At 40.3% G+C, this 13,743-nt stretch overlaps 1 protein-coding gene across 14 annotated transcripts in view; it reads right to left on the bottom strand.

The window, feature by feature from the left end:
* The window catches only part of DPP6 (dipeptidyl peptidase like 6), a 1,146,153-nt gene that overhangs the window by 318,049 nt on the left and 814,361 nt on the right, over positions 1-13,743 (bottom strand). For all 14 annotated transcript variants that reach the window (NR_157195.2, NR_157196.2, XM_047419951.1 and 11 more), the window contains one exon: positions 9,321-9,395. Coding sequence is in view for 12 of the 14 variants with exons in the window: in XM_047419951.1 (XP_047275907.1) it covers positions 9,321-9,395 (75 nt within the window). In the remaining 2 variants the exon portion in view is untranslated. The remainder of the gene's footprint in view (positions 1-9,320; positions 9,396-13,743) is intronic.

Below are 13,743 nucleotides of genomic sequence, written 5' to 3'. Positions count from 1 at the left end.
CTGATTTACCCGTCAAAAGATCACTGTGGCCACGCTGTGCAGACCAGCGGGATGGGGGCACGGGGAAGTAGAGAGACCAATTAGAAGGTGACTCACAGCGGTGTCCCTGTGTGGGGTGATGGTAGGGGAGGTGTTTTCTGTGCTCCTCAAATCATGGACACAAACTGCCACTTATGACAACCCCTCCACTGCGGGCCGGCCTGGAATGCATGGTCTCATTAGGACTTCCCCCTGTCTGGGGATGTGTGCAAAAGCCTCTTTTTGTAGCCCTGCATGAGACAAATAAATATTTCACATGCTCTGCAAAAGCTATACACGAAAGAATCGATCCTGAAACCTCAAAACCTGTAGATCCGCTGGAATGCTGCAGGTAAGTAAAATCCTCCAATTCCCCCACTAGCCAGAACAACACACACACACACTACACACACAAACACACAGATACACACACCACACATACATACACACACCACACATACATACACACCACACACACATACACATACCACATACACACAACACACCACATACACAAACACCACATACACACACCACACACACCACACACATACACACACACCACACAAAAACACACCACACACACCACACACACACCACACACACATACACACACCACACACATACACCCGCTCACACATACACATATACCACACACAAATAAACACACCACACACACCACATACACTACGCACATACACACACCACACACACACCACACAAACACACACCACACACACACCACACACATACACCCGCYCACACACATACACACACCACACACATACACACCACACACACATACACAAACACCACACACACACTACACACACATCACACACATACACACACATCACACACACACCACACACACATACACACACCACACACACATACACACACCACACACATACACCCCCCACACACATACACACCACATACATACACATACCACATACACACCACACACACCACACAAACACCACACACACACCACACCACACACACACCACAGACACCACACACACCACACACATATACCCCCCCACACACATACACACAGACCACACACACATACACATACCACACACACACCACACACACACAAACAGCATACACACCACACGCACATCACACACATACACACAACACACCAAACACACCACACACACCACACCACACACACCACACACATACACCACCCACAAACACACACACCCCACACATATACACACACAGCACACCACACACCACACAAAAACACACATCACACACACACAACACACATACACCAAACACATACACACACGCACACCACACATATACACACACCACACACACACAACACACAAACACACACACCACACACATCACACACGTACACCCCACACACCACACAAACACATCACACACACAAACACACACCACACACACACACATATGCACCACACACATATACACACACAACACACATACACACACCACACACGTACACCCCACACACACATACACACACACCACACACATATACATATACCACACACACCACACACATACACAAACACTACACCACACACACCACACACACACACCACACACATACACCCCAAACTCACATACACTCCCACACACATACACACACACCACACACTTATACACATACCACACACACACCACACCATACACACCACACATATACACCACACCACACATACACACACCACATACACATACACACACCACACACATATACACGTACCACACACACACCACACACATACACACACACCACACATATACACACCACACATACACACACCACACACATACACACACCACATACACACACATACACAACACACACATATACACATACCACACACAAACCACACACACATACACAGCACACCACACACATACACACACATACGCCACACACACAGACCCCACACACATACACACACACCACACATACACACCACACCACACACACGCCACACACACAGACCCCACACACATACACACACACACACGCACAGCATTACCTTAACAAAGTTTGCATTTTGTTGAGAAAAGAACCATTGTTTGGGCTACATTTTTTCTATGCCTAAGCTTGTGCTTTTACATTTAGCTCCAAAACCTGAGTAAAAATAAAAATAAAAAACAAACAAGAAAATAATTGTTAGTTTTGAGCCAGTTCTGTGTCAAAACAATACAACAAAACACCCTAAAAATCTATAATTTCAAAAACAGATGGAAACCAACAGCAGCCAGTGGCCTTCCACAACAGAAACAATCTCTTTCCTCTGAGGCTGCTGGTCAGATTCACAACAGGAGGCAGCAGTCTACAAGGGACAGGAGCCCACATCAGCATTATCTTACACTGCTTACACAGGCTTAGCCTTTAAACAGTTTCCCAAGAACGTGGATATATGATTTGATTTTCACAGTATTATGAAACTGCACGCATTGTGCTAAGAGCTATGTGAAAACACACATTTCAAAAATCAGTGATGACCATTTTTGATAATCTCATGTAGTAAGAGTCACAGAGAAGTTGGCCTTATATCGGCTAAGAGTAACATGTCAGGCAAGATGCTGACAAAACAATCTGGACCATTATTTATAAATTCGGTCGCAAAGGAAAGATGGTTGGGATTGAGACACGGGAATTCATCCCGGGATAAAAGGGCTTGGAGTGATGCTGATGGGTGCAGGATGCACTTCCAGGCAGTGAAGGGGCAGCTTCTGGTCTCAGTGGGTGGTGGACAGGCTGTTCATCCACTGCCTTCTCAGAAGGAGAACGTGCTGAAGGTGAGACTCGCCTCCTGCTGCTGCAGCAGCTACTGGGCTGATGCAGAAAGGGCGGCAGGTGTGGTAGAAATGGCACACGCAGGCCCTGCTCTTCAGTTTGCCCTCTGAGGCCACTGCAGAGGGAGACAGAGAGCTCCCTGCAATTCTGATAGCAGCCCCCACACATGAGAATGTGCAAGGCCTTCGTCCAGCAGAAAACGCTTGGATCAACTGGTTCCCAGAGGTGGGCCCAGGAAAGGCTCTGTAGACAGTGCAGAAAGAACCAGTCCAAGAGCACGAGAATCAAGAAACACAATTCCCTTAGCCACTCCTGGACGAAGATTTCATCCCTTCTTGTAATGAAGAAGGGATGGCAGTAAACATCAGAACCATATTATAACAATAGCTATATTTCTTGCAACAAAGAAACTCATATACTCAGAATTGGCCAGGTGTGGTGGCTCACCCCTGTAACCCCAGCATTTTGGGAGGCCGAGGCGGGTGGATCAAATGAGGTAAGGAGTTTGAGACCAGCCTAACCAACATGGTGAAACCCTGTCTATACCAAAAATACAAAAATTAGCCAGGTGTGGTGGTGCGTGCCCATAATCCCAGCTACTTGGGAGGCTGAGGGAGGCGAATCACTTGAACCTGGGAGGTGGAGGTTGCAGTGAGCTGAGATCGTGCCACTGCACTCCAGCCTAGGTGACAGAGTGAGACTCTGTCTCAAAAAAAAAAAAAATTAGCCATGTGTGGTGGCGGGTGCCTGTAATGCTAGCTACTCAGAAGGCTGAGGTAGGAGAATCTCTTGAACCTGGGATGGGGAGGTTGCAGTGAGTCGAGATCACGCCACTGCACTCCAGCCTGGGCAACAGAGTGAGACACCACCAAAAAAAAAAAAAAAAAAAAAAAAAAGAAAAGAAAAAAAAAGAAACTCATATACTCAGAATTACCTGAATTGATTTCCAGCAGTTATAATTTAGTCCACAATATGGGTTCAATAATTTATAGCCCAATCCCTTATATTACATTTATAAAGCCTCAAGTTATTTTTTAAAATTAATTAAGATATAGATAAATAGGTAACTCGACCAGATGGGTGCATAGAAGATTCTGGGATATAGTTGGGGTTCACCTCACCAAGCAGGTTTGATCAGGATTATCCACATCAGGGTGTTCTTCAAGCTTTATATGAATTATAAATTTCACAGTCCCTTAGAGAGCAAAATGGGCTCTATCAACTCACCACGATGGCAGGAAAATAGTAGAAATTTATCAAATATGAAAACTGCTTCCAATTCCTGCCATGAAAAGCTCAGCAGCAAACCATCTTCTCTCAGGACTGAGCAGAACCCATCTCTAAGGATGGCATTTGGGCCCTGTCAACACCCATGCCCTGAGCTTGGAAGCAGACTCCTCCCCAGGTGAGCTCTCAGATGCAACTGCAGCCCGGATGTCACCTTGACCACAGTCTTCTTTATAGAAGACCCTGAGTGCAAGGATCCTGCTAACTTGAGCCCAGATTTCCGACCAGCAGAAACTGGGATGATACATGTTGTTTGTCTTAAGCTGCTATGTTTGGGGATAATTTGCTATGCAGTGGCAAGTAACTAAAACGGATTGGTTTATGTGTTTCAGTTATATGAACAGTTTATAAACAGATCAGTGTATCAACCCATTTTACTGACTGAATGACTGTGTGATTGGGATTTTAGGAAAAAAATCTTAAAATCTGACCAGATTTTGGACAGAATTTCATTTGGACCAGAATGATGTTCCACTGGCAATGATCTGACTAAGAACAATCATTTCAACTAACTCCTTTAAATATTGCAATGAAATTCCTCACAAATCTTCAGTGACTCTTTCAGAAATGATTCTTCAAGGAAGAATATTTTTCTCTTAGGTCTTTGAAATTAATATTTTTAAATGATCTAAGATATTAATACTAGGCTACTTTTTAGGCTCTCAATAATACATAGGGTTGGCATAGTTAAGATGAGCTAATTTGTGTATGTTCAAGGATGCTAGCCAAGCTATACATTTAGTAATATTAAAATAGTTTAGTAGGAAAAAGTATTAATATTTTTAAATGATCTTAGATAATGCATTTTACATTCTTTTTCCCTCTCCCCAAAGAGATTTGGAAATGTTTCATATTTGTCAAATATATCTCAATATAAAAAAGCATGGCTGCTCTAATTAGATACATTTGTTTTAAGGCAATTTTTCTTTATTAGTATAGTTAATACAGTTTTCAAATTAAAAATAAAAAATTGCTATTTCTCCAATGTCTAACTTAATTTCAAGAGAATATTCAGGAAGTGTACACTGAGAAATGTTATGAAATTTTATGTATAAAATAAAATAAAACTCATTTAGCACATGTTGTCTCTTTGGAGCAGGAATGATCTTTTGAGATAAAATAAGGTGGTGTAAATAAGCACACATTGCAAACTATAATGCTGGTGCCACATAAATACAAACACAATACTGTTTATTATTTTCAACATTCCAGATGCACTACTTATAACCTATAGGTGTCTGAGGCTTGAAAAAGTGGAAAATTGGGTTTGCTGTTTCTCAAATTTACTTGATAATTGATATTTCAAACACCTTTTTAAAGGCTACTTTTAAAGCTCTCAAAAAAACATAGGGTTGGCATAGTTAAGATGAGCTAACTTGTGTATGTTCAAGGATGCTAGCCAAGCTATACATTTAGTAATATTAGAAGAGTTTAGTAGGAAAAAGCATGCTAATTAGCATGATCCCACATTTCTAGAATAAACATGGAACGTTATTAGGATATTTCACAACTGAGGTATTTTCCTTTTATTACATATTTTGTGGATTTGATAGAATTTCAAGAACTTGGATTGTATCTTGGTATAGCGCTAAGGGGTTCGGAGAGAATATACACACACCACAAATATATTTGCTCAGTACTAAATGTACGCAGATCACCCTGTGCTGGGTCCTCTGAGGTGGGGACAGATAGGAGATAAAAAGACCTGTCCCTGTCTTTGAGTATCTGACAATATAAAAATGGACAAATTAAATTAGTCTATGCCAAACAACTGGGAAATGATATAACATTGCAATTAGTCTGAATAAATGAGAAGAAGAGATACCCAATGCATATTCTAAAAATTAAACTTAAACATCTTTCCTTCAACTCTTATTCTCAGGATGTTGCTGTACTATTTGTGTCTAAACTCCTTAATGATCTGTTTCCTCATTTCTCTTACCACCCATGCTGTGCTGGAAAGCTCTTACTCACTTCTACTTGAGCCACTGCCAAGACAGCTGATTTCATGTAGGCATCCATCAACTCCATTCCAATGAAATTGGATAGAGCCTTAAATCTGGCCCTGGGTATACATACGGAACTACTCTGTGCTCAAACACATATACCCTGGAAGTGTAGGAGAGCTGACATTCATTGGGTCGCCCTTCACCACTGAGAAACAGAAGCCCAGGGTCACCCAGGAAGATGGCTCCAAGATGCAGTGCATAAGGTTTAGTGGGTTACTCAAGCAAACATAGCTGGTGAGCATCGGAATGAGCCCTTGAACCTATGATTATTTGACTTCCAAGTCCAGTATCTTTGGGCAGGCAACAAAGAGAAGCAGAGATTGAAGAGATTATAATTATCCTGACGAAATGTGGGATAGTAGGATTTTTTTTTTTTTTTAGTGCAGTGGTAACCCAATATACCAAAATTTTATTGCAAATGAAACATATACTGAAATAAATGACAGATATCTAGTAATTGGACAGTTGGTTTACACTAAAACAATTTTATGATAGTCTTTTTAATGAAAAGTTGAGTTGGTTCATATAAACAAGTTACACTAGCTGCCTTTGAGATACACACATAAGAATATGTTGAGCATGAATCCAAATAACAAATTCTAGTTTCATTATAATTAGATTGGAATCACATGTTGTAATACCCACTTGGGAAGTACTATGTAACCAACATGAGAATATCAGGAACTTCAAGAAACTTATCTGTTTAACTAGAGTTCTCAAATGTATTTGAATATGGAACCTTTAATTGTTTTTAAAGAATACCAATGGATAATATTTTTAATTGATTATACTATTAATACAATACTAGCAATAACAATTACTGATACTAAATACTGATTAGGAAGTCCTGGTCTATTCCACTTATTCCAGAATCACAGACCTAGACTCTTCCTTTGAAATTTACCCCTCCCTTTTCTAAAATTACTTACATTTTAGTTTATCTAGTTAGGAAGATCTTCCTAATATCTAACTCCAAATTCTCATGCAGAATCCCATATGTAATCCTTTTATTACATATTTTGTGGATTTGATAGAATTTCAAGAACTTGGATTGTATCTTGGTATAGCGCTAAGGAGTTCAGAGAGAAGACACACTACTCATAACCTATAGGTTATAATTTCCCTTATAATTTTTCCTCCAGAAGAACAGAGAATACTTGCTTGAATAGTCATGTATACAGTAACTGCTCAGTGCTGAAAACTATTAAGGATTACTTATTTTATTCAACTTAAAATATCTGTTTCTATAGACTTTTTACATTTTCAATTTTATCATTTTTATAGTTCTGTAAATACACTTCAAACTTCCTAGGTTTTCCTTCAGTTGAGAAGACAAACTGAAGAGTCTTACTCCAAACACCGACAGATGCTGCCCAGTGAGAAAGGGTTATTTCAAGGTTCCTGTTTACAGCCAGTGCTCCACATGGTGAAGACTCATCTTTAGCAAAATGATCTTTATCAAAATGGTTTCTGGTTCAATGGGATCCCAGGGCACTCTTCCAAACAGAGCGCTGGGAAGCCGAAGAAAGTGGTGGAGAATTGTATCATGCACAGAACCACAGCACCACTGACTAGAGCACGCCTCTTCCGATCACACGGCTGCGGGAACCCCTCTGTCACATTCCGGAGAACAATACCTCACTTTGTTTTGAGGCTTCTGGGAACGGAATGCTCATTACCTCCATCCCACTGTCGGGGTGCTCCGATGATTAAAGATTCTCTAGGAGGATAACCTGAAATCAATTTGTCTTTCTAGGCTTTTCTCACTCAGGTGTTAGCTGTGCCTCCTGGGGCAAACCAGAACACATCCATGTAAGGCTTTCAAATATCTGCTAACATTTTTCTTTTATACAGGTGTGGAGATTGTATTTCTGGTGGTTTTCAAGGGTGATGAAGGAAGCTGAAATGGTCTATGACCCGTGAACATCACATCCAGGTGCCTGAGGCTGAAAGAGGCAAGTTTAAGGCTGTGTCTAGGTAATGCAGAGTCCCAAGCCTTTTAGAATGTCAAGTTCACCAACTGATCCCAATCAAAGAGACAAAGATGCCCCATTGTTTCAAAGAATTTGGATGGAAAAAATGAAAACCTTTATAGAATGGACATTTAAAAATAGAAAAATGGAAGACTGAAACAGAGTCCAAAAAAATCTACAGTTGGAAGAATAAAGTTGAAATCTCCAGTAATCCAGTTGTCCAATCAACTTCTAAAAGAAAGTTTAAGAATTCAGAATTGAACTTGCATCTTCATACAAACCAATACCCCAGCTTTCCCAGTGGATATAAACCAAAAAGCTTGACTGTCTCATGCCAGAAAAGATTCTCTCAAACTCACCACAGAGCCATTCTGACCTGAATTAAAATGCAGGAGTCATTACACCTCACAGAAGCACCAGGAAACTCTATTTCAAATGGTCTCAGAAATGCCAGGGAGGCAGTAGTAGACTCTATATCTTATTTGCCAGAGAGGAAAGTTCTTAAAACATACATTTCTAAAGTTGCTTATCTCTTGTAAACTGAACATCCTCTCCACTTATACAAATAAACTTCACCTTCCAACTATTTAAAATTAAAGAGCCAAAATGAAATTTGAAATACGAGCATGTCAAATGAAAAAACAAGAAGAAGAAGGAAGATCCTGGCCTAGGAAGTTTTACACTGCTACTAATACACAGTGAGATTTTACAGAAAATTCTGGTGAAATTTTATGGGAGGCTCATATATACAGGAAGTGCTAAAAATAGGCATTTAAATAGTGGAAGTGATAGCTTCAGCTCTTCACTAGAACACTACAATGACCAGGAGATAATTAACATATTATTTCAGTTTAAGGAGAACCTGGCAGTTGCTTTTTGTTCTTAGGATAAAATCTATTATTTCACTGAGAAAACAGCCAGAAAAATAATTGCACAAAAGGGCAAGATTTGTGTCTATGAAGAGACAAGTTCTTACCATCCTCCTAAGAAAAGTCTATGAAAGAGCCTCTAAAGTATGTGACTTTTTTCCCCTGCCAAGCAGATATTTATACCTTTCCTCTCTCCTAGGTGGCAGTATGATATGCAAAAGAGACTTCCAGGATGTACAAAGTATTTCTGGATTCAAAGATCACTAAGTATAGAAGAGTCAAGGAAATATACTTAATGAGATATTAGAATAAAGAAACAATTATTTTGTAGGCAGTAAAGGATAATACTCACGGGTTCCACATTGTATGAAAAAAGTGCATACTCTCTATCTGGAGATATTTCATATCTGATGGCTCTTAATGATTCCTAAAAGAAAAAATAGACAAAGAATTTTAAAGCATTACATACAACAAGTCAGAATCTTATAATAAAATTGTATCTGCTGGTGCCATTTTCAAAATTAATTAGCTATTAAAATGGCTATATCCTTTCTTTGTTAGCTGAATAATATTTAGCTAATTGATGTTTTTTCATATTTTATTTGTATTTTTTTTCAAATTTCAACAAAACATACTTATTGGACTTACTGAGACAAGCCAATATAAATAAGCATTAAAGGCTGGGTGCACTGGCTCACACCTGTAATCCCAGCACTTTGGGAGGCCGAGGTGGGTGGATCACCTGAGGTCAGGAGTTCAAGACCAGCCTGGCCAACATGGTGAAACCCCATCCCTACTAAAAAAGAAAAAAAATACAAAATTAGCTAGGTGTGGTAGTGCATGCCTGTAGACCCAGATACTTGGGAGGCTGAGGCATGAAAATCACTTGAACCTGGGAGGCAGAGGTTGCAGTTAGCCAAGATTGGGCCATTGCACTCCAGCCTGGGCAACAAGAGTGAAATTCCATCTCAGAAAAAAAAATAGAGAGAGCAAGAAAAGAAAAAGAAATAAGCGTTAAAAAGCAAACTTTTCTACAAAACTCTCAACCTCTTGATATGTTTAGAAACCTTTTTCTCACTAATTCTAAGACACATATAATAAGCAGAGTTGTTACTAGAATAGAATCACATTGCACACATTATTTTGCAACTTGCTCTTTTTCCAACATGGTCATCCCTACAAGTCAGTACATAGAAGACTAACTGTGACTTTTTCCTTCAAATTTCTTCATAGTACAAACATCATCCGACATAAATGATACCATCAACTGTGCTGTTTTCTTTTAATTGCCCCTGCCCTCTGCACTGCAAGCACATTGCTCCACAGATACCCACACCCACCCCCAGAGCCCACATTGCTGACTTGGTGGACATCACTCTATGCATGCTCAGGCAACCACATGAAATCAGAGAGAGATGACAAAGGTTAGAAATGACATCACATTGGCTGGGCGCAGTGGCTCACGCCTGTAATCCCAGCACTTTGGGAGGCCGAGGCGGGTGGATCACCTGAGGTCAGGAGTTCGAGACCAGCCTGACCAATATGGAGAAACTCCGTCTCCACTAAAATTACAAAATTAGCTGGGTATGGTGGTGCATGCCTGTAATCCCAGCTACTTAGGAGGCTGAGGCAGGAGAATCACTTGAACCTGGACGGCAGAGGTTGTGGCGGACCGAGATCGCGCCATTGCACTCCAGCCTGGGCGACAAGAGCGACACTCCATCTCCAAAAGAAAAAAAAAGTGACATCATATTATGGTCCTCTGCACCTTAGTTTTCTCATGCAACAGTACCTTAAGGAAATGACTCCAAGGACTTGGGTTCCTTTGATTGAGTAGTGATCTTTAAAGGGCTCGTAATATCACATGGTGCACACCTTGGGATATACTTTAATTTACTCACACAATTCTCAACAAAGGGAGACAATTCATTCCTGTTATTTATGGTTGCTTTGTTCTATAAAGTCATCATGAACACTAGTTCATGTGCAACTAGTGGATACTGAACCATTGCTTCTAGGAGAGACTCAACGTTAGCTTCCTTTGAACCTCTAGTCTAAACATTTTAGTCAAATGATCAATAGATAACCTTGTTTTATGTGTCTTTCTTTTTAAGGACACCTTATTGAATATATATTGTTGATTCATAAACATTGGACTCATGGCCAACAACCCATGAGTTGTGCCTAAGCAAAGCTTATCTCAAAGATGCATTTTCTCCATAAGGCGTTCACAGCCTTCTTGCCCTTAGTGATACTATACAGTACTTCAGCACTATGCCTGGGACCCACTTTCAACAGTGAGATCACCAGTGTAAGTTACAAACATGCAAAAAAATGGAGCACCAAATAGAACAACAGAAAAGGACAGTTGTTCACAGCATGAAAGTTGAAATGAGAAAGCAGAATAGTGCTTTGTTCTGCTGCAGTTGGGAATGCCAACATTGGACAACTCGAATCTTCTGCCACTATGCCTGAGAACGATGGCAAAAGTGCTGTGATTATCACCTTGGGGCTCACAGGTACACTTTATCACATGGTTGAATTTGGAAATATAGAAGCTGTGAATAATGAGGATAGATTATAAGCATTTCTAGTGAGCTCTTTCTATAAACAATGTTGTAATGAAGATCCCAATCTATGTCTTTGTTGATATATGTGTGGTTTTCACATTTTTGTATAGAATAGATATCCACGGGTGAAGTGAACAGTTTACAAATTTTAAAATTAAATAGGTATTGCCAAATTCTTTTTCAAAAATGTTTTTGGAATGTGCACTCCCACTACAGATGTATGAATGCATGTTTTCTTCCCTTCTCTGGAAGCATAAGGTGTTTTTTCTCCAATTTTGACCCTCCTGTAGATGTAAACATGCCTCATTAGTTTTTGTTTCCCTGCTTATGGATACATTTGATCCTTACTATCCACGTTTTAGACAATGTTGATTTTATCTTTAGAAAACTGTCTGTCTACTTCCCCTTGAAAATATTCTCCATGCTTCCATTTTTCTCCTCCTATTCATTCTTAAACTCCTGCCTGTCATGCTCTCACCCCCACCACTCAACCACAATTACTCTTCTCAAGGTTATCAGAGACTCACTTTGCTAAATGTCATAATTTCTCAGCTGTCCTCTTACTTGACACAGATGACCAGTCTCTCTACTCCTCGAAGCCCTGACTGTACCTGGCTTCCCGGACACTCATCACCTGCTTTTCTCCTACCTCCCTCGCTGGTTCTTTTCATGCTATTTTGTGCTTCTCCTTGTTTTCTTGAGCTCTGAATGTTGGAGTGCTCAAGGATTGATATTTGGATCTCCTCACTTCCTAGGTGGTGTTATCCAGTCTCATGGTTCTAAAAACCATGCGCAGTCTGGCTGAGGATTCCAACATTCATGTCTCCAGCCCAGACCACCTGAACCCGCACTGGACCTGACCTTGAACTTCAGGCTTGTCTGGCCAACTGCCTCCCTGACATCTGTACTTGAGTGTCAAATGGATACCTCAAGTCAATGGGAATAAGCTGAGACCCTTCTACTCCACTCCCACACCTCCAGCTCCTGTAACCTTTTTCCTCTTCTCAGATAGTGGCAACCCCATTAGCTTGGTTGTTAGGTCAAACTCTTGGCTATCTTTTCTCTTTCCCTCTGTTTTACACACCCTACATCTAGGTGGTCAGAAAATACCATTGGTTTACCTTCAAAATAGGTTTGGAACCATTTCTTCTCTTTCCCACCACCATTACCCTTGTCTAAGGTATGTGCATTCTTTCCTGAGGTACTGCAGTGGCCTTCTACCTGCTTTCCCAGGCGGCCAGGGCCATCTCTCAAATATGTAAATCACATCGCTCCCCTGGGAAACCCTCCCACAGCTTCCCATCTCACCTGTGGGAAAAGCCAAAGTCCTGACTGACCAGGCAGCCCTGCTGGACCTAGTTCCCTCTTAGCTCTCTGCATCCATCTCCCAGTATTCTCCCCTCAGTCCCATCTGCTTCACTGCAGCCACGCCAGTCTCTGTCCATCCTAAAGCAAGCCAGGCACATGCCATTCTCAAGGCCTTTGCAACTCCTCTTTCTTCTGCCTGAAATGCTCTCAACCTTTCATTTCTTTGGCTTTTATCTCAAGTCACCTTCTAAGTGAGGCCTTCCATGTCCTTCAATAGCTAATATATCTAGATATTAACTGCCTTGCCTCCGACTTTTTATACCCCTTTCTCTGATTTGTTTCTCTAGGTCTAATCATATTAATACATATTTTATATTTTTTAACCTATTTATCTTAAATATTGCCTGCTTTCTTCATTAGAGTGTAAACACCTTGAAAGGAAGATGGTTTTAATCTTTAATTTCTCTCAGCAATGTTTTGCAGTTTTCAGAATACAGATTTTGCCCATATTTTGTAAATTTATTCCCAAGGATGTACTATAATTGATGCTTTGTACATATAAAAGTACATGTATATTTTAATTTAAATATTTAATTGATTATTGCTAATATGCAAAATTCATTTGGGTATCCTGACCTTATTTTCTGTAGCATTGATACATGTAATTATTTGTTCTGGTAGATATTTTCTGTATATTTCTTAGAATTTTCTACAAAATCATATTTCCTGTGTATATAGGTATTTCCTTTCTTTTCTATCTAGACACTTTTTATTGCTTTTGGTTGCCTTATTGCACTCTAGAGAACTGCTAGTATAATGCTGAGTAGAAGTAGTGAGAGTGAACAGCCTTGCTTTTTTCCCTAATCTTGAGGAGAAAGCCTTCATTCTTCTCCATTA

The sequence above is a fragment of the Homo sapiens genome, chromosome 7, assembly GCF_000001405.40.
Source record: "Homo sapiens chromosome 7, GRCh38.p14 Primary Assembly".
Taxonomy (NCBI): Eukaryota; Metazoa; Chordata; class Mammalia; order Primates; family Hominidae; genus Homo; species Homo sapiens.
Note: the sequence above shows the minus strand (reverse complement) of the source record. Positions and strands in the feature narration are given on the sequence as shown.